Here is a 22,711-nt window from a genome sequence, read left to right on the forward strand (position 1 = left end):
CTCCATAAATAGCTGTATTCATCTACATTTTCACTCTCCATATTCTGAGTTCTGTTTCTGTCATTTCAGCCATCTCAGCCCCATTCAGAACCCCTGTTGAAGAGGTGCTGCGGTTGTTTGGAGGAATGAGGGCGCACTTTTTGTTCTCATGACTTTTGCACTGGTTCTTTCTCATCTTTGTGGGCATATCCACCTTCAGTCTTTGAGGTTGCTGACTTTTGGATACATTTTTATTTTCTTTTATCCTATTGGATGATCTTGAGGGTTTGATTGTGGTATAAGGTGGATTCAGCCAACTGGCTTCATTTCTGGAAAAATTTAGGTGGTCAGTGCTCAGCTCCCAACACCTGGACTGTGTGCTCTAACTCTGGGGGAACTTATACAAGTCCCTGACTTGGTTCTCTGGCTCCTTAAGGTTAGGAATCCACTGTTCTTGGGGGGCTGGAGGTGTGGCAGCTGTGACAGAGTGCTAGTGGGTGTCTGGGGGCCTGCCTCCCTGCAGGTGTTCACCACAGTGGCAGAGGCACTGCATCTGTGGGTGTGTGGGGCCCTGCTGGTGACTGTGTTCAAAGTCACGCTGGAGGTGGTGTTGGCTCAGGGGTGGGACACTTGTGGGCACAGGTCCGGGTGCCGTATTCATGCCCCACAAGCAGGAGCAATTTCTGAATGTGTGAGATGATCTGCTATTCTCTGTGCAGAATTAGTGCAAGTGCGGGACGCTGACAGGAGCGGGCCTGGCTTTTTCCCCACCAAAGCTACCTCTGCCGTGGTGGTTGGGGTGGGGGGAGGGGACTGCACTCCACGCAATGGTGGGACAAGAAAAGCAAAACCCACCTATACAGACATGTGCCTGCAAAGTGATGTGGGGAGTTACGTGGGCCTGGGGGAACCTACAGTATTCGGAGGAAGTGTGTAAGCTGGTGTGTGCACATGAGAGCTGCCCGATTGGAGCTCTCCACCAGTCAGGCATGGTCTGCCAGGGCAGAAATTTTGGTGCAGGATCCCAGGGTGCCCGAGACTGCCCTGCAAGCAGGTATGGCCAGGCTAGGGCCCCAGGAGAGGCCAGTAGATGGAGGGGCACTCAGGTCCGTACATTATTTGAGAATATGGCCAAGTTTTATGTGAATGAGTGATGACTTGATTGTAATGCAGCATTTTATTCCAGTACACAAACATATCTCAAATTGTTTAACATTCACCTGTAATGGATATTCAATGTGTTCTCTCAGTTTCTGGCTTTTATACAGAAAGCAGCTATTCAGTGTGGGAATGTGAAAAAAATGAGAAAACTGTGATTTTATTCTGACCTCATTAACAACAAAGCTGAACAGCTACAAATAAAAGAGAGAAAAAGCATTCAACATATCTGAGTCGATTTCACCGAGCAAACAAGAAAACTGAAATCTGACAAGATAGGAGCCTGCAAAGAGAACCAGGACCTACCTGCTAGTGTACATAGGGCAGGTGCCACTGGATGGCATTTGAGATAGAAACAGACTAACCTAGAAATACTTAATGACTTTTTTTTAGTATGCATGTACTAATGGTGTTAGAGTGGCCTAGTGCTTGCAAGCTTTTCCTAGAGAACTTGAAAAATCCACGGACAACTTCCTCATCTGGTGTCTTGTGGTGTTGACTGGGGAAAAGAACAGCAGCTCCTGTGGAATGCCTGGATGCACCTCCACTACCTCCAGGGGAAATCCACCAAAGCATGTGTCATGTGAGCTGTGGTGAAGTCAACAGAAACAAAAGGAAACAGAGGACACCAAGGAAACTTGATCCAGAAACACCTCCCATCTCCTTCCTCAGGAAAGAAATCCTTACTCTTTAGGGTAAGGATAGTGGGTAAAAAGCTGGGGACACTGGTGAAAAACAATTCTGTATGGGAAAATACATTCCAGCCCTGGGGAAAGAGTTAAGGACAGGACAATCTGCAAGGCCACTCCCCAGAACTATGCTTACTACTCCTGCATAAGAAGAAGACTCAGTCAGAAGGTTGGAGGACGTCCCGCTTTGTCCAAGCTCCTTCACCACACAGTCAGCAATTTAAACTGTCAGTAGGGTGCACTTTCCACAGCTGAAAGAGACAGACTCCCTGGGGAAAACTAAATATAAAGACCCAGGATCAAACAGGGACACAAAAGCAAGTATCATGGGAGGAACTTGAAATCTCTGTGGACAGCAGAAGCTGACTTCAACTCTGATAATTGTGGCATCCATAAATTGCAAATATAGCCCTGAATAGATACACACAAATGTCTATAATGAAGGCCCAGCAGAATGGAATGTGTGACCATCTTCAGGAAGAAAATAATGAATACATGAGTACAAGAAAATAAATTACAAATAAAAGTCAAACTTGAATTCTATATGTATTAAAAATTTCATTTAAAGAGAAAGTCAAATGAATACCCTGTAAGACAATTCGATTCTGAGAAAATTTATTGCCAGTGCATTCATCCTTCAGTAGGTGCTTTGGCAAATTTTCTGCCAGGGTGAGTAGCCATATGATATACATCTGAAACATGAATCTATCCAAATAAAACAGGTGGTCAAGAATGAAAAAATGAAGTTGAAATGTAGTTTTTATATTTTTAATTGTTCTAATATATGTCTATGTAAAGTAACGATAAAAATGCACATATTATATTTTATAGCACATATAAGTGCAAACTGAGAATAAACTAAGACAACGGATGAGAAACAGGGTTTAGAAGAATACAGTTATAATAGCTCTACAACCTATGAAGAGGTTTTACATTATTTGAATTAGAATCTGATTATATACAATTCGTATTGTATATCTTATGGCCAATATAATATTCATAAAGGATGAACTAAACGATAAGTTAATAGAGAATAAACATGATCATAAAATGCTAAATTAAAACAGAAATTAACAGAAAAATAGTAATACCAGTTTTAAAACAGAATTTATTATAGTTGTTTTAAAAAGCAAGACCCAACTATTAGCTCTGTATAGAAATTTGCTCTACATAGGAAAGTTAAATACAGGAAAACATGGACCATGAAAATATGAACGAAAAGAAAGCGTGCTTAGCTATGTTAAATTCAGACAAGGTAGACATAAGACTTTCAGGAATCAAGGGGCATATTACATAGGGTAAAGGGATCAGTTTTCTAAAAGGCATCACCAAAGATTTAACCAATGGATCTGCAATAGAAAATAGGCTAACATCTATAACAGATAGAGACTTCGACACTTATTGTGATTGACAAAACAAACGTGATAAAATAGGTAAATACATAAGTGACCAGAATCAACTTATTTCACTAGTTTCATTTATAGAATATTCAATGGGAAGACAGCAGGAACCCAAACTGTGATTAACCAGAAGATATTAGAGGGACATGGTGATTGAATTTGATGTGGTTACCTGAGTTGAACAAAGAAACAAACAAAAAGCAATAGGAAAGTGAGACTTTATCTCAAAAAGAAAAGAAAAAGGAAAAAAGGAAACTGTTAAAAATTGGCAAAATTCAAATAAATCCCAGAGCTGAATAAACAGAAAATTATCAATGTAAATATATTAGTCCCATGTCCCATTTTTTTAACATACTAACTTTAGTGAAAACTCGGAGATGGATGTGAACACACTGTATTTTCCTTACAATTGTTCTGATAATCTATAATTATTCCAAATAAAAAGTGTGTAAAATATAAAGTAACAATCATAAAAATAATAGTTCAAAGAACTTATAAAATAGGCTTCTGAAAATAATATTGTTACTAACATTATTATGGATAATTATTTTAGAGGATAATACTGAAATGATCATCAAAGTAGTGGACAGATGTTTATTTATTTCAGAAAAAGATGTGAGGCATCTCATATTAAACACTAGTGATGGAAGTGTTTATAGAGTTATTTTATCATCTATAATACGATGGATGAAAAGCATTATCATAAGCATTTGATGGATGAAAAGCATTACTCATAAGCATTTATTTAGCCAATATCATGAATGTATTATAATTTCCTCAATTGTGCACCACTTTTGTGTTAATACCATGTGAACATTTTCCACTGCGTGTGTCATATCTAAAAATTTGAACTAGTTTGTTTCTTATTAACGTGACTCTTGTAAATGCTGTAGGCATTGCTAATGTTCTCTGTAATTTCTCTACTGGTGACTTTTTCCTAATATTTTAACATGATAAATTTGGATTAATACAACTATGTAATTTAATAATATATTTTAAACTTCATAGTCGTACACACACAGACACACACACACACACACACACAACAGCCAAGCAATGACACATATATGCGTCCATGCAAAAATGAATGTATATTAAACACCAAAACAACACACCCATTTTTTCTATATTATTTTAATTATTTAACTGAATGTAACTTGTATTTGCAGTTTCATTTTTGAATGAATGTAAATGCCATTCTTGCCAAATATATTACTTAAGTGTACAGTGGTATTTACTTTTTTTTTTGAGACAGTGTTTTGCTCTTGTCGCCCAGGCTGGAGTGCAATGGCGTGTTCTCGGCTCACCGCAACCTCCACCTCCCGGGTTCAAGCGATTCTCCTGCCTCAGCTTCCCCACCATGCCCAGCTAATTTTGTATTTTTAGTAGAGAGTGGGTTTCTCCATGTTGGTCAGGCTGGTCTCGAATTCCCGATATCAGGTGATCCACCCACCTTACCCTCCCAAATTGCTGAGATTACAGGCATGAGCCACTGTACCCAGCCAGTATTTACTTTTTAAATATCAGTCAGTTATTAATAAATTGAATAATAAGACAAACATCACTTAAATTTTTATTAAATCATTGATTAAAGTAACATTGTATTTTTTTAAACTAGGCAAGATATAACTTTTCTATTTGAAAAATTTTTTAAAAAACTTTTTGGTGTTAATTTTCAATACAAACTCTAGTCTTTATTTGCCAATATGCCTTTATAATAAAGAACATCCAGTGATAGGAAACTGAAAGCAGCCCATGCTTTGCAGGATTCAATCACAATGGCAGCTTGCTGGAGGGTGGTCTGAGAGTGTGCAAACACATTAGGGATTTGGACTTCATGAAAGCACTAGTGAGCCCCTGGGCTGAGCACACAGAGGGTAGCATGAGTTGCAGAGCCCAATCTGTGGTACTGAGGGAAAAAGAGGAATGGGTGGGGGTTATGTCTGCAGGACCCTAGAAAAGTGTGATGAGGGCAGAGAGTCTGCAGGTAGAGCATATTCTAAGGAGAACTGTTACTCTCCTAAACTTGGTTGGCTTCAGTGATCATGAAAAGAAGTGAACTGATTTACCAGACATGGGGGACAGAAAGTAAAAGGACTTCCTGTTTCCTGCATGGAGAGTGAGGAAGATAAAATATTTTGACAGAAAAAGAGAAGATGGAGAAAGTTTGAGAAGCAAAACACCAGGGGCCAAAGTGGAGGACATGAGCCCTTAAAGCGGTGTTTCATCTGCACAAACAGCCGATGAAAGGAAAAGAAACTGGACCCCACGCATATGCTGAGTTGTTAGAAAAGCATTTACAATAGTGTGTCTGACAGCACAGAAAACAAAAAAATTGTGCATAGAGCCAGACTTTGGATTGAATATACACAATTAAAAAAAATTATACTGAGATATATCATTGCTAGTATAACTCTGAAAATAGGCAGAGTTTAAAGTTGAATTGAACCCCTGTTCTAAGTTAATGTTTTATAGGTGAAAGAAACCATGAGTTACAAGGAAGACATGGTAAGAGATCCTGGGGAAGACTTTTGCTTGACCAGGTCAGGAATCACCAAGGTGGAAAAGGAAACCTCACCCTCCCCAGGTACCTGATATGGAGCTGCCTCCAAAGAGCCCCTTGGAGGTCCTGAGTGTCCCCTCGTGTCCTGAGCCATCCTTGCTGTCCTGAACACCTGCTGGTGGTTCTGAGCGCCCTCTGGTGGATCTGAGCGACCCCTGGAGGTTCTGAGCGTCCCCTGGTGTCCTGAGCGCCCCCTGGTGGTTCCTCAGTGCCTACTAGTGTCCTGAGTGTCCCCTTGTGGTTCCTGAGCGCCCCCTGGTGGTTCTGAGCACCCCTTGGTGTCCTCAGTGCCCCCTAGTGGTTCCTGAACCTCCCCTGGTTTCCTGGGCACCCTCTGGTTTCCTGGGTGACCCCTGGTGGTTCCTGAGCGCCCCCTAGTGTCCTGAGCATCCCCTGGTGTCCTGAGCGCCCCCTGGTGGTTCTGAGCATGCCCTGGTGGTTCTGACCGCCCGCTGGTGTCATGAGCGCCCCCTGGTGGTTCCTGAGCTTCCCCTGGTTTTCTGAGTGTCCTCTGGTCGTTCTGAGCACCCGCTGGTTTCCTTAGCATCCCCTGGTGTCCTGAGCACTCCCTGGTGGTTCTGAGAATCCTCTGGTGTCCTGAGCACCCCCTGGCAGTTCTGAGTACCCCTTGGTGTCTTGGTCACATCCTGTGGTTCTCAGCACCCCCCCACCACAGTCTCATGAGCGCCCCCTGGTGTCCTGAGCGCCCCCTGGTGCTTCTGAGCACCCTCTGGTGTTCTGAGCACCCCCTGCTTCTTCTGAGCGCTCCCTGGCAGTTCTGAGCGCCCCCTGGTGTCCTGAGCACCTCCTGGTGTTTCCTGAGCGCCTGCTGGTGTCCTGGGCTCCCCCTGGTGATTCTGCCTGCCCCCTGGTGTCAACACCCCTTAGTGGTTCTGAGCAGCTCCTAGGTTCCTTAGGGCCCCCTGGTGGTTCTGAGTGCCTCCTGGTGTCCTGAGCACCCCCTGGTGGTTCTGAGCGCCCCCTGGTGTCCTGAGCACCCCCTGGTGGTTCTGAGTGCCTCCTGGTGTCCTGAGCACCCCCTGGCGGTTCCGAGTGCCCCCTGGTGTCCTGAGCTATCCCTGGTGGTTCTGAGTGCTCCCTTGTGTCCTGAGCGCCCCCTAGTGATTCATAGCACCTCCTAGTGTTCTGAGCGCCCCCTGGTGTCCTGAGCGCCTCCTGGTGGTTCTGAGCACCCTCTGGTGTCCTGAGGGCCCCTTTGTGGTCCTGAGCGCCCCCTGGTGTCCTCAGCACCAGCTAGTGGTTCTGAGCGCCCCCTGGTGGTTCATAGCACCCCCAATTGTTCTGAGTGCCCCCTGGTGGTTCTGAGCACCCCCTGGTGTCCTGAGCTCCTCCTGGCAGTTCTGTGCACCCTACCTGATGGTCCTGAGTGCCCCCTGGTGGTGCTGAGCACCCCCTGGTGTCCTGAGCCCCTCCTGGTGGTTCTGTGCACCCTCCCTGATGGTTCTGAGTGCCCCCTGGTGGTTCTGAGCAGCATCTACCGCATAGTCCCCTCCTGTCTCCCTGCAGTGAGCTTTGTGTCTGGGCTCACACAGGGTTTCCCTCACTGTGTCACTCACAGTAATACATGGCCTTGTCCTTGGCTTTCAGATTGGTCATTGTAAGGCAGACTGCACTTGAAAGGGTGTTGCTTGAGATTGTTAATTTATTTGTATTCATGGAGAGTAACCCTGAGAATTCATACTTGATCGCTCACTGTTGGCATCCACACCTATCCCTGTTGTGAAGCGTGCTGGACCAAGCTCATGCTGTAGCCAGTAAAGGTGAAACCAGAGGCTTTGCAGGAGAATCTCAACCGCTGGGCTGTAAAATTTTCCCCCTCTGACTCCATCAGTAAACTTCACACAGGACTTCCATGAACACAGAAAACAGACTGAGAAAATCCCCATGAGGAGCAGCCACAGCTGGACCTGTTTTACAAAGGCCACTAATGTTGACGGGGATGAGAAGGGAATCCAGATCAGTGCAGACCCCATGGTGTGGACACTGAGGAAGGGCACAGACATGGGGTGGCTCCTCGCCAGGGCCTGAGGGAACAGGGGATAAGCTGCCTTTCTTGAGAAGGGGAGGGGACACATTTCCATGTCTTTCTTTTTGTGGTCATGGGTGCACCGCTCAGCATTGCTCATCCATCCTCTGTGTCTACATTTCAGGGAAGTCAAGGTCAAAGGATTTCTGGGTCTGGATGCACAGAGTTAATCTGCCCATTACTCTTTTTTATTCTCTAGTGTGGACGCTGTTCAGGTATTTTCATAATAGCAAACATTATCAACAAATATGTCCAGTAAGAACATAAAAATATGTTTCCAGAGAAAATGGACACCTGTCTCTAATTGGTACATTTAGAGCTGCAAACTACTGTTCTTGACAATAAGGCAAAGTTAGGTTACAATGAAAAAAATACATATCTACGCCTTGTCAGGGAGGGGGTTTATAATTATCATTATCTTGAGATCATTTTGCCACAGAACAATTCGACATTGGATATATGTGTTTGTGTAAGGAAACAGTCAATGTGGACATATGTGTACTTATCTGAATTGAGTTCACATGGAGACATGTTTGCTTGTCTGAGACAAGAGTCCACATGAGGAAATGTCTGTTTTCTGAGGAAAGAGTAAATGTCAGAACATATGTGGTAGTCTGAGGAAAGAGTCCACGTGGGGACATGTGTGTTTGTCTGAGGAAAGAATCCACATGAGTAACGGTGCATTTATCTGACAGAAGAGTCCACATGTTGACAGGTGTGTGTCCCCATCTGAGGGTAAATGCCCATTCAGGGACAGTGTATGCCTGAACTGAGCTGAAGTTTGGGGAAATATTTCTCAACCAAGGAAAGAAAATAATCCTGTGGGTTATTTGCTTGTCAAGAGGAAAAAACCTGGGTCACGTAGAAAATTGATTTTAAAAAAAATTAAAAAATTAAAGGTCTTTAGTGAATGGCAACATCTTATATGCAAATCAGGAAAATTACCTCATTCTTTGTTGCATACATCTCATGAAATCTCCACCCTCACAAAATAAGTAATGAGATAATTTTATACAATCTGCATTTGATCCTTGGGTTAATGAACTGCTAAGTACTTTTTTTTAATTGTGTATATTTAGGTTTATATTTTCCATCATAAAATTATGTGCTTAGACAAATTAATTGTGTCATATCTGAACCATTGCATATCACTATAAATAATTTTAATCTTCTTAAACAGTGTCTTTTTAACTTATTTTATACCCAGTCTCTAAGCTCCTGGAATATCCTCTATATGTTTACTTGACTACAGTTTTGGCTTTTATAGAATTTCAAATAAATCAAATTATACAGTGTCATTGAAATGACTTCACTGAAGAAACTGGAAAATGAAGTTGCTGACCTAAGGAACTTTGAAAATGAGGAAACTCTATAATAAGTGTAAAGAAACTGAATATAAGCACTCTATTCTAGTAGATAAACATGTTTCCAACAAGGTTACAGCTTTACATTTCTGATACTGCTATGCATGTGTCCTGAAATTGTGCAGCTAAGTAATCAAATGGCATATGGTTGGATGGGGTTCCTCACTTTGCAGTGAGTGGTTATAGACAGTCAAGGAAGGAAGGCTAGAAAGGTCCATGTGGTAGCATAATTGGGTAGAGAGACCAGTGTGTTCTCACTTTTAATGTAATCAAATTACAGAAGGTTAGATACATAGTTTACTAGGCCAGTCAGTTGAGAGGTCCTACAAGTACTTATACCACGTTAACAATGCACATACCCAGTATTACAATTTTTTAAATACTATTCTTTAACATCAGAAACAAGCAGTCTTTAGAAAAATGGCTGATTCTATGTACGAAAAAGATAATATAGAAAATGAGTTTAGAATTTATTATAATAGCAGGAAACAGGGAAGTGTTCAAAAACAAAAGCATGAGGTGAGCTGTAAGGATGCAGGATCCAAACTAAATGAGCTCCCAGCACATAATAAAGCTGTGGTGGTTTGAAAAATAAAATGAATAATGTAGCATGGATCTTCTTCAGAGTATGAAATAGACATCCATAAACCAATACACATATTAATAAGTGATCAAATAAAGAAATAATAGGAAGAAGAACACATCTTTTTACAGAAGTATTCCAACTATGTTAGGTTGATAGTCCTCCAATCAAGTAGGTGAAGCTTAAACACTCATGAGTTGATTGTAGCCTGAGACTAGAGACATGGAAAAAGTAATCATATTAGTATATTTTATAATGAGATTTCAGATATAATACCAAAGACATGATCTGTAGATGAATAAAATTTTATTTTTTAAATCTAAATTTGTATAAACACACACACACACACTTTTCTGCAATACACACTGATAAGGGAGTAAAAGACAGCCACAGACTTGGAGAAAATACTTCCAAGTCACATATTTGTTAAATGAATTCTTTTAATTTGTTAAATGACTTTTATAATCAATATGCAAGTAAACTTACAACTAATCAAAAGAAAACAATACAGTTAAAAATGAACCAAATATGAGAAGAGGCATCTCAGCAAAAACTATATGAAAATTGTTAAATGTAAATTTTTATTAAGGAAATGTGCATTTAACTAAAAATTAGATACCATTACTCACCTATTAGAATGGTTAAAACACATAATTCTCATAATTGTAAATGGCAATATGAATGTGGAAAACCAAGAACTATCATGCATTGATGGTGGGAATTCAAAATGCTACATGCACAAATGAGTTTTTTTGGCATTTTTAAAAATAGAGATAAAATGTGATTTGTGTATGTGTTCCAAAATATTTACAACACTGATTCAGAAATTGATGTTTACACAGATACCTACAGAGGAAGTTCTGTATCAGTTTTATTAATTCAATCCCTGAAATTTGCTTGCAGAATAAATATTGTATGAAAAATCTCTCAAGTAATTAAAATTTCTCAAGTACACATTTATATTGTTTCTTTTCCTTAATGACTTAATGTCATTTTCTGAGAAAGTCTTCAATCTAATAATCTTTGTCATTTCCTCCATGCCAGTACAGCTGCTTCCTCCCTGGGGTTTCTGACACTCTCAGGATGTGGGTTTTCACTCTGTGTCTCTCGCACAGTAATACACGGCCGTGTCCTCAGATCTCAGGCTGCTCAGCTGCATGTAGGCTGTGCTCGAAGATGTGTCCCTGGTAATGGTGACTCTGCCCTGGAGCTTCTGTGAATATTTTGTGTTACCATTGCCAGCGTTGATCCATCCCATCCACTCAAGCCTTTGTCCAGGGGCCTGGCGCATCCAGTTCATAAAGTAGTCGGTGAAGGTGTATCCAGAAGCCTTGCAGGAGACCTTCACTGAGGCCCCAGGCTTCTTCACCTCAGCTCCAGACTACACCAGTTGGACCTGGGAGTGGGCACCTGTAGAGAAGACACAGGAGTGGATGGAAGCCCCCTTGACTGGCCTCAATCCCTTCCTCCTCACTGGGATTTGGCAGCCCCTTACCTGTGGCTGCTGCCACCAAAAAGAGGATCCTCCAGGTCCAGTCCATGGTGAGGAGCTGTGCTCTGGGGGCTTCTTCTGAGGAGGGATGTGGTTGTTGGGTGATGCTCTCAGGGCACAAAGATATCTATAGTCATATCAGTTATTTGCATATTCATGAGCGATGCTATTTCATACCTAACACAGCATGAGAAAGAATGGAGAGATGACACATGGATTACCCAACAGGAGGATGCTAAGGGTTCAAGCTATAATCCCCTTAGAGGCCATGTGTGCCCTGCCACATCCCTAAGCTGTATGTTGACAGAGCTTCTGGAGAACAATTTTCTCCAGAACAGTGGAGAACACTGGAGAACAATTTTCCCTAGAACAGGACTTCACTGGGAACCCACACTTGAATAGCTCAGAGGTAATTTAAAGCATTTCTAGGCTTTAATACATGAATGTGTTATTTGGGGGATGAGTGTGTTTCTCCAAAAGTTGCACTTATTTATATAAAATAAAAGCTTAATTGATCTCCAGATGCTTACTATTAAGGTATGTAGCAGGGTTAGAAATCTCCAGTGTAAATTGATAAATTCTTGCAATTGAATAGGATATTTATGGAATCTTCAGCAGTCTTTGTCAAATACTTATTTTAGATTTTTTTAGAAGAATGACACAGATCTTGAGAGGAATCCCTCCCCAGCCTCCTGTGCACCTGCTCTGGGGCTGGGGCCTGTGCTGGGTGGGCCTTGAGCGCCCCCTGCAGCCCAGCCCTTGCACTGCAGAGAGGCTCCTGTCTGGGCTCCCAGAGCATTTTCCTCCCTGTATGAAGTGGCTGTGTCCTGGCTCAGAATGCTTCTTTAGTGACACGTGACACCATGTCCTGCTGACACCATCGCTTGCAATAGTAAATTGGTTGTAGGAAAGCCAGTGAACTCTGCAGAAACACCCCAAACAAGGATTCTATGAAACCACCAGGGAGCCCCTTCTCTGGAGCTCCGGAAGCACTGGATCAGTCCACACTCACAATGAGTCCAGGAGCTCCCAGGGGCTTTGGGAGAACACCTAATCTCTTGTCGGTTCCTTTGGATGAACATCTCATCAGATAATTTCTAAACCTACAAAATCATGGGTCTCAGAGCCCACTGCGAAACTCCTAATACACACACACACACACACACACACACACACACGGGTGGTTAGAGTCCCCACAGTAATGGACACACACACACACACACACACACACACACACACACACACTGTGTCTAGAGTCCTCACAGTAATGAGAGGGAACTGTGTCTTACTCCCTGTGTCTAGCGCATTGGCTGTGTGCCCATAGTGCCTCTAGGCCTGGGGATATGCCCTTGTCAAGCAGAACAACAGCAAACACTTTACTGGAGATGGGGCCCTGCACACACTGTGGCTTCCCTGTTCTCCCAGAACCTGGGATCCTGCAGATACCCCTAAGAAGAGTCCAGGCTCCCCCAGGAGGGTCAGCCACAGCCCAGCCCCACCGAGTTGGTGCAGCCTGCACTGAACTGCTGACCTGTGGAGAGGGTCACAGCAGACCCACAGCCCAGCCAGCCCCACTCCCAGAGGCACATCAAGGAAGGGGGCAGAACCCTTGGGACTCTTGATGGGCATCTTTTCAGGAGCAGACACAGGAACCGTTCCAGGAACAGGGGACCTGGGAAGGTCAGTAGCTGGTCAGGGTTTCTGAGGACGAGTGTCAGTGATGGGACCAGCCTGTCCCTTCTCATATGGGATGTCTCTCCTGGGGATCCTGTACTGTCTTATTTGTGCAGGTCCACTCTGTGGGACTTGTCTTTATAAATCTCAAATCTCAGGAACAGGAGAGCTGTGCTTCAAAAGCCCCCATAGAGAAGACACATTCCCATCCTGCTGTGATTGAAACAGCTCCATCCTGGGCATGGGGAGGGCTCATGTGTCCCACCTGGGATGAGAAGCAGCAGCCACACGTGAGCTGAGGAGGACCCAAGGCTGCTTCCCAGCACTTCCCCACAGAGTGAAATGTGTCTGTTTGCCCCAAATCCAAGCTGGTCCTGTGACTTGCTTCTTTCAAATTTCTTGGCCTGGAAAGTGCAGGCACCAGCTGTCAATGTCACCACTATTGTGACACTGTACACAGAACCAGGGAAGGATCCCAGGGATGGGGCTGAGGACAGACACTAGCTAAGTGGACCCATTGAAAACATGCAGATCTGCTGGGGTTCACACTCCTGGAAGGACAGATCTTGGAGGGTTTGGAGGAGGAAGGCGCCACTGTCGGTGACTCAGGAGCTGCTGCTCTGCGGGTCACCTCGTTGGCAAGTAACAGTGGGTAGGTGAGTGTGGTTCATCCCCTACAGGGACAGCCCCTCTTCACCAGGAAAGAAAGTGGCTTTGTTCATACTGGTTTCCCCGGCCGTCTGGTCATCCTCTCTTCCTGACCTTCTTCCCATGGCCCTCAGGGCTGTGAAACATGGACAAAGACACTTTCTACTCCAACCGTTGATTACCCAGGTCAGCTCCCTCTAGAAAAGCCATGATGCCTTCCTGGTTCTGTGTGCCTGGCTGAACCAGAATGGACACACATGGATATACCAAAGTGTCAAAGTGGAGGAGAGGAATCTTGGCAAATATCACACAGGAAAGAGAAAGGAATTCGTTTGTATGCAATGAGAGGGTGCAGGGCATGTCTGGAGGCTGCAGGAGCCAGAAGCTTCATATTTTTTTAGTGACCTCGGTTTTGTCTCCCCTGTTGTTGTGAGGCTTCCCTGAGTTCTCCTCCTCAGATAGACTCTGTGCCTTTTCACACAATGACCTGTAGGAGATGTTTACACCAAACAAGAAGCCTCAAACATGGTTTATATTCTGATCTAAATTTTCGGAGGATAAACTCAAGACAGATTCAAAGAAGTGATTATAAAGTATCAGTATGTAGCACTTGGTTGAGAAAACCTTAAACTCATATTATTTTTATGAACCACATGCATAACAAAACTTTGTCCAATTCCTCCACTTTATCAGAGACTGCCTGCAGGATGAATTTCAATGCCATCTAATTTAGAGTAGGAGCAAAACTTAAAATCCTCTATAGGTCTGAGTGCCACTAACAACCAAAAAAAATTTCGACCATTATGAAGTTTTAAGAGATGCCACAATGACAGCCTGGGTTGATAGGTGATGGCATTTTCCCTGAGCATATTCTGTGAAGAGTGATTATGGTAGCTTTTCCTTCTAATGAGGAGAAAGCAACAGAGAAAGTAAAAAAAATAATAATAATAATCACGAAACAGAAAAAAGTGGCCCAAATTGTTTAACAAAAAAAAAGCACTAGAAACTGCCACAAATTAAAAGGAGATATATTGATTACCTAGCAGAAAATTCAAAGTAAACCTTATAAATATGTTCACTGAGCTAGGGGAAGAATGCACGAACAACATGAAAGTATTAACAGGGACAAAAAAGGGAGAGAGATGAGATACAATGATTTGTGGCTTAACAGTAGGGATACATTGGCCAGGCGCAGTGGCTCATGCTTGTAATCCCAGCACTTTGGGAGGCCAAAGAGTGTGGATCACCTAGGTCACGAGTTCAAGACCAGCCAGGGCAACATGGTGAAACCCCATCTCTCCTAAAAATAGAAAAAAAAGAATTAGCTGGGCGTGGTGGTACATGCCTGTAATCCCATCTCCTCAGAAGGCTGAGGCAGGAGAATCGCTTGAGCCTCGGAGGTGGAGGTTGCAGTGAGCCAAGATTGTGCCACTGCACTCCAGCCTGGGTGACAGAGTGAGACTCCATCTAAAAAAAAATGAAAAACAGTAGGGATACGTCTGAGCAATGTGTCCTCAGGCAATTTGTCATTGTGCAAGGATCATAGAGTGTGTTTACACAAACCTACATGAAATACCCTGCTACACCCAGGCTGTGTGGGATAGCATAGTGCTCCTAGGTAACAAATCTGTATGTCATGTAAGTGTACTAAATACTGTGGGCAGCTGAATCACCATAGTAGATGTTTATACAGATGAACATATCTAAGCATGGAAAAAATGCAGTGAAAATACAGTATTATAATCTAATGAGACCTTTGTCATGTATGTGGCCTGTTGTTCACCCAAATATCAAAATGTGCATGATTCTATTCAAGTTGCTGAAAAAAAAAGCCAAAAAACTTCCAAATAAATATCTTACAGGGATTAAAGCTTTTCTTCAGTAATGCAGGATGTTTGAGAAGTTTCCCAAAAAAGTAAAAAGTCGACAAGTTCATCACCACTAGGCCGGCCTTACAGGAATGCCAAGTGTCTCTGGCAGGTTTCCTGAACAAGGAAGTAGCTGCATCAGCTCCACTCTGTTATCTGCCAATTGATAGATTTGCATAGTTTTTAATTTTAATTTCTCTTCTGTTTTTTCCCTCCATAAACTCCTTCTCCCTTCCTTTCATAATTCTGTCTATTAATGCAACTCATATTTAGCTGACAATGCTGGGGTCATTGGAATAAATTTCTATTTTTCCTCCACCAATTCTAATAAGCTGTCTCCAGGGGTGTCCATCTCCGTTTTCTTTTCTGCCATTCCCATGGGATAATTTCCTTGTTCCTATGTGAGTCCAGCCCTCATCACCACGGGCCATCCAACCATCATGCACCCAGGAACAGCTTCAGGAAATGTACCCTGCCAGCTGCCTATCAGCCTCCACCTGCACAGTGATCATTCCTTCAGCTTTCACTCAGGCCGGAGGGCTTTCCACCCAAAAGGGCCTTTCACACCCACTCCCAGCACAGTTCTAGGACCCTGTATACCTCCCAGATACAGGTACATATCCTTCCCCTTTGTTGTTAATTTTGTTTAATTTATTTAAAATTCACTGGGAAATCACTGATGATGGGAGTGACCAGCCTGTCCATTCCATTTTCTGTCCACCATCTGACGGCACCACCTGTGAGGTTGGCCACCCTAGTGTGCTGTGCTCATGGGGCCATCTGGACATACACAAACACCAGGTGTGTGAGTTATTAGAGGAGGCCCGGGATCAGCAGGTGGCTGTGCCCCACAGGACACAGGTCTGTCCTGCAGTAGAGCCCGCATGACCTGGAATCATACGTGTGCATGACCCGTGGTCTCAGCACATCAGCTGAGGCCAGCTTCAGGCAATTCCTGTGTAACCTGCCCTGGGCGCCCACAGAGGACAGATGCATGACAAGGATGTAAGGGAATGCTGCGGATTAGGGGAACTGAAGCTCAATCTTTACTGAGGCTTTACTCGGCACCTGGACCTTATGGAAGACTAAGAAGAAGAGAACAAGAGTCCAGCCCCAAATAGCTCCTGGTTTAGGGTCAGCTTTAGTGGGATTTTAGAGAGTAGAAGACACAGGGGTGATGCTGGAGTGGTTTTCTTTGGGATACTTGGGGCAGCAGAAGGTGGGCCGGGATCAGGACTCCATCTGGCTGGTTCTCATTATCTACATGGATTCTCATGGTGGAAAGTGAGAGACATGACCTAGAACACAGCCCCCAGGGCTGATCTCAGAGACGCCTGCTAAGTGAATGACTCAGCAGAAATGTGGTGGGGTTTTCATCTTGGATCTATTTTTCTTTATAAAAATAATCTGAGAGATGTGTCCAGCCTCAGTGGGCTGTTTCTCCCTCCAGGAGACAGAGCTAACACAATTGTATCTGTGAATCCGCTTGGCTTTCCATCAGAAGATACCACAGACTAGGTTGTTTCAAATAACAAATATTAATTTTCTTATTGTTCTGGAGTCTTGATGTCCAAGATCTGGGTGCAGAAAGGGATAGTATTTTGTTTTTTGAGAGGCCTCTTCCAGGCTTGCAAAGGGCCACCTTCTCATGCAGTGCATCCCCACATGGCCTCTCCTCTGTGTGCATGTGGAGAGAGAGGTCTCTGATGTCTTCCACTTCCCATAAGGACAAGAGTCCTACTGGATTAGGGTCCCACATTTATGGCCACAGTTAACTTATTTGCCCTCTTAAAATCCCTCACTCCAAATACAGAGCCACTGGGATTGGGGTTTCAGCATATGAATTTAAGAGAAGGACACGATGCAGCCAATGACGTCAATCAAGGGATAGTGAGAAGCCTTGAAATATTTTATTTGTCAAGAAGGTAAAATGGGCCTTGTGGGAATTTGTTGAAAAAAAGGTGCCAGTGACTGTTAAAACCTTAATGGTAAACAGAGAAATTTCTCCCTTCTTTCTTGCCTGCAGTGAGGATGTGAGGAAGCAGAACCACAAACAATAAAGAAAGAGGAGCCCTGGGGACAGCTGAGGTGCTGGCGAGGAGGGAGACCACTGAGCAGATGAGGAAGCCCCGCCCTCCCTGCCCCTGCTCCTGACCCGGCCTCATGCTCTGTGGGCCCCGCGCCCCCTGCTGGTCCTGAGCAGCACCTGCGTCCGCGCCCTCCGCCTCCTGGCAGGGAGGTTTGTGTCTGGGCTCACACTCACCTCCCCTCACTGTGTCTCTCGCACAGTAATACACGGCCGTGTCCGCGGCGGTCACAGAGCTCAGCTTCAGGGAGAACTGGTTCTTGGACTTGTCTACTGATATGGTGACTCGACTCTTGAGGGACGGGTTGTAGTTGGGGCTCCCACTATGATAGATTTCCCCAATCCACTCCAGCCCCTTCCCTGGGGGCTGGCGGACCCAGCTCCACCAGTTACTACTGCTGATGGAGCCACCAGAGACAACGCAGGTGAGGGACAGGGTCTCCGAAGGCTTCACCAGTCCTGGGCCCGACTCCTGCAGCTGCACCTGGGACAGGACCCCTGTGAACAGAGAGACCCACAGTGAGCCCTGGGATCAGAGGCAGCCTCCCCTATCTTCATGTCTGGATCCCTGAGATACTCACATCTGGGAGCTGCCACCAGGAGGAGAAAGAACCACAGGTGTTTCATGTTCTTGTGCAGGAGGTCCATGAGTCTCAGAAAGTATTTCCCATGTGAGCTGGACCCTGAATTTAAGGAAATGTGTGGTGGTTTCCTGTGGGTGCCTAAGCGAGGATTTGCATGTAGGTAGTGCCTTTGTATAAAGAGGTGAAAAGGGATGAGGGAGGCCCCAGTCTTTTAGGCTCACCCTGGGATGAGGATGCTTGCTTTGCCCTTTGAGAACTCAGTTCTCTTCCTGGGGCCTCAACTAGCCATGTCCTGGCTCCTCTTTTCCCAGGTGAGGAAGTAGATTGGAACAGCAGCTTAATGTAATAATCATGTGAGTTCAGACACACCAGGATTCACTTAATGTAATTTATAGTTCAGGACATCCATCATGTTTAGAGGGAATCTCTCTGTTCTAGGGAGTGGGCCACTTTTTAAAAGTGTTTAAATTAAAATAAATTTTTTAGATGAACTTTTGCTCCTTTGCGCAGGCTAGAGTGCAGTGGCCCGATCTCAGCTTACCGCAACCTCCACCTCCTGGGTTCAAGTGATTCTCCTGCCTCAGCCTCCCAAGTAGCTGGGAGTACAGGCACGCACAACCACCCCCATCTAATTTTTATATTTTTAGTATAAGGTTTCACCATGTTGGCCAAGCTAGTCTCAACGTCCCGACATCAGGTGATCCACCCACCTTGGCCTCCCAAAGTGCTGGGATTACAGGCCTGAGCCACCATTTTAACTAAGGCACTGGGAGCTGCCCTCTGAGACCTTTTGAGTCCTGGAATTCTTTCTGAGACCTTAGGAGAGACTCGTGGGACATATCTTCATCATTCTCAATGTGTGACCCTGAGGATGTGGCCTGACCTCTGTACACTTCTGTGTGAAAGAGTAGATTGTGAATTGCAGTGACAATTTCATATGTAAACTCTATAATAGGCCAGCACTGGAGGATATTCTCATCACCAAGATTACTGCAGTTACCTTTCCTGGAAACCAGAGAGGAACTCTGTGAGCCCTCACCTCTGAGTGCACAAGGAACCCTGGTCCTGACAGGTCTCACATGCGACATGGGGGAAAACAAATACATTCAAATCCAGTGTTTTCACCCATATATTGACCAATCTAGCCTGATCTATCTGTCTCTGAAAAGCCTTTTCCTTCATTGAATTGCATGAACATACCCTTGGGTATGGGGTATTGCAATGTGGGTATTTGGTGTTTGTTTAGTCAATTATGTAATTAATAGGCTACCTCCATGAATGTGTGTAGCAGTAGAGTTATCAGAAGTTGGGTGAGTCATATTATCAGGACAAACCTGGACTCTCTTCTTGGGACCTGGACAAGTGGCCAATCTTCTGTGGTAAAGCAAAGGGGAAGAGACAGATCCAACATCTAGAAGCAGGGTAGCTCCTCACTTACCAGCTGGTGTCTGGGCCTTTTGTTTGAACAGACCAAAACGACCTACCTTCACCTTCAGGGAAATGATGAACTTCGTATGAAATTGAGATTAATTTTCACTTACAGAGAAGAAAATGTCATAGGCATGTATATATCTATGTGGGTGTGTACGGGTTTCCAGGATGTGCCCATACACAGAAAGGAAGCAACTATATTTGCCGGGAAGAGAACCGAAGGGCTTCTGAATTTGTAGGTGTTGTTAAGCACAAATGTGTCATGTTACTACATCATGTTATAGAGCTGGCGGTAAAACCTCCCAAAATTGTCATGGAGACAAATGCAAAGAAATAAAGATTCAAATCAGATGCCTTTGATCTGTAATGAACAGACCAAGAGAAATCAACCATTATGGAAAGAGTGATAGTTAAATGTAGTAGTAAATTCCACGCTGAGGTGAGAGGGAAGTTCCATCTGACAGCTCACTTTCACCTCTGCGAAAACTTCAGAGCACAGACTAAGAGCAGACAGTGAACTTAGGGCAAGTGGGGGCCAGATGTTTGAGGAGGCTAGAGAGTGAGCTGGAATCCTTGTGAGCCATTCGGAGAAGCAGCAGTGTGCAAGGGTGTATTGAGTCCTCCTGAGTTAACAGATGCTGAATAGATACCAGTTTCACTGCCTTCATTTTGATTTATCCTCAAGACTCTATTGGATTTCTAGATTTGAACACTGGAAAAGCTGATGAAACTCAACATGACTAGGAATATTTCTGGGAAGATTTATGTAATGATGTGAGTGTATTTAAAATTAGGTTATGAAAATTTCATTATCTAAAATGTTGGTATCAGTATCTATTAATTTGTTCTTTTTTTCTTAGAGACAGGGTCTTGCTCTGTCTCTCAGGCTGGAATGCAGTGTCATCTATGAATTTTATAGTATTAAAAATGATCACCCTGATTAATGTTACCATATTATGCCCTTGAGGGATTTTGCTCCATGTGTGCCTGTGACATAGTTCTAGTCACAGATGCAGGAGAAGTGGTCTGTTGAGGCAATTCTTCCTCCTCAGAGGAGAATATAAACTGTCATCTCCTCACCTTGCTTATTCCATTTTCAGAATTGCACATGACCTTTGGGAATGCTGTCACCATGTCTTACAGGGTGGGAGTCGACTGTGGTATGAAGGTGGAATGGAGAAGTGTAATTTTGGGAAAATACAGAACCTGGGCAGATAAAGTTTTGAATTAATTGGGCCTGGAGCCACTCACATCCTGGTGTCTTGTTGAATTGTTTGTCATTTTAAATTCTGGTTATTTAGTTCAAGTTTCCTTGATTCTCTTTCTGCTAAAATAGTCATTCATAATCATCTAAATAAACTGGAAAAAAATTACTAATTTGAAAATTAACCTCATTTCTGCTAAGGTCAAAATCAGTTTGCGAGGCACAGAGTGATGGGCATGGACATAGCAGATTACCAAGATTGCATTCACAGCCTAGGTAATCACTATGTTTTATTTTAATTAGGAAACACTTCTGTACATTCCTTATATTTATTAAACTCCTGTTGAGAAACTTCAACTGTTATATGTTGATAGATCCTCCCAATAATAAAACTAAATGTTTTAAAACAGGAATTCCTATTACAATGTTAGCTTTACTTTAGGACACATTTCTTCACCTCATTTGAAATTCGCCCAGATGCACTGATTACAGTGTGTCAGTTAAGAAACGACCAGGAAATGAGATCACGTTTCTGGAGCAGGACATGGCTTTGGGATGCTTTGCAAACAAAGTGGTTTCTCATGTCTTCTTGAAAATCCATTGAAATGGGGAAGTTAAGGACCTCTTAGAAGCACTCTTCCACCCCATATACTTGACTAATAAAAAGGTGGAAGTCAGTGCAGAAAAATAGATAACATGAAAGCTAAAGTAAGATTTGTACCAGTTCGTTGTGCCAAACATGTAATCTTAACCTAGAGTGGGATCTTAGCTGAACCCTCAGGAGGTAAATTTCCTGAGAGATTCAAAGATGTCTTTACAAAATAACAACACTTAGCCCCCGATTTTAAGTTAAAATAATGGAAAACTCCTGGTAATCTACTTCACTTAGTGTAAATCAGTTAAAAACAAAATTCTGGAAAACCTGTGAAGGTGGGACTTGCCGAGGAACTGAGCCTTGGGGGCCTTTGGACACTTTTAGTAGGATTTTCTTCAGCTTTGACTCTCCATGGAATTTGAACAAGTTTCATTTACTGTCTACTGTTTCTCTGAATGACTTGAAGTAATTACTTGACAAAAGCCTACAGCCTTCTCAGTTGATAAACATGTTTTATGTTTTCAACCTGTGACATGCCGATGTTTTCATCAGGTAACTGAAGCACAGCCACTACAGGAAGCAATTGTTATAAAGTGATTCTGTAAGGTATTTCCATTATCAAATGCTGAACCGCTATTACCAGCAACAATATTCTGCAAATGTTGAAAAAAATGGCATTGCTACATAGAATTAATCACAAATTTTAAAACATTTTCTTATATTTATTGTTTAAATTCATAAGCATGGAATGTTTATTTTTCCATCTATTTGTTTTATCTCTGATTTTTTTCACCTGTGTTTTGCTGTTTTTCTAGTAGAAATATTTCATCTCATTGGCTTAGCTCTATTCCTAGGTATTCCACTGTCTTGGTGGCTATTGGGAGAGCAAGTTCTTGATTCCACTCTCAGCCAGAACGTTGTTGGTGACTAGAAATGTTACTGTGATTTTTGTACATTGATTTTATATCCTGAAACATTCCTAAACTAATGTATCAATACTAGGAGACTTTTGGCAGAGCCTTCAATATTTTCTACATATAGAATCATATTATCAGTGAAAACAGAGGGTTTGCATTCTTCTTTTTCTTTTATTTGGATGCCTTTTATTTCTTTCTCTTGCCTGATCTGGTGAATACTTCCAGTACTAGGCTGAATAGAAGTGGTGAGAGCGGGCATCCTTGTCTTGTTTCTGTTCTTAAGGAAAATGCTTCCAGTGTTTGCCCATTCAGTATGATGTTGGCTGTGGGTTTGTCATAGACGGCTCATCAGATTGAGGTGTGCTCCTTCAATGTCTATAATTTTGAGGGTTTTTATCATGAAGCATTGTTAGATTTTATTGAAAGCTT

At 43.3% G+C, this 22,711-nt stretch overlaps 1 protein-coding gene and 1 pseudogene across 2 annotated transcripts; both read right to left on the bottom strand.

Annotated features, from left to right (window-relative positions):
- Positions 1 to 10,636: 10,636 nt before the first annotated feature.
- On the bottom strand, positions 10,637 to 11,378 carry IGHV1OR15-3 (immunoglobulin heavy variable 1/OR15-3 (pseudogene); annotated as a pseudogene). The gene is made up of 2 exons (NR_135666.1): positions 11,279 to 11,378; positions 10,637 to 11,193 (listed from the first exon to the last, which is right to left on the bottom strand). The product of NR_135666.1 is annotated as an immunoglobulin heavy variable 1/OR15-3 (pseudogene) (transcript).
- Positions 11,379 to 17,447: 6,069 nt separating this feature from the next.
- LOC102724971 (putative V-set and immunoglobulin domain-containing-like protein IGHV4OR15-8) lies at positions 17,448 to 18,267 on the bottom strand. The gene is made up of 2 exons (XM_011543804.4): positions 18,133 to 18,267; positions 17,448 to 18,049 (listed from the first exon to the last, which is right to left on the bottom strand). The coding sequence occupies exons 1-2, from the start codon at positions 18,197 to 18,199 to the stop codon at positions 17,448 to 17,450; spliced, it is 669 nt and encodes a 222-aa protein (XP_011542106.1). The 5' UTR covers positions 18,200 to 18,267.
- Positions 18,268 to 22,711: the final 4,444 nt, after the last annotated feature.

The sequence above is a fragment of the Homo sapiens genome, chromosome 15, assembly GCF_000001405.40.
Source record: "Homo sapiens chromosome 15, GRCh38.p14 Primary Assembly".
NCBI lineage: Eukaryota > Metazoa > Chordata > Mammalia > Primates > Hominidae > Homo > Homo sapiens.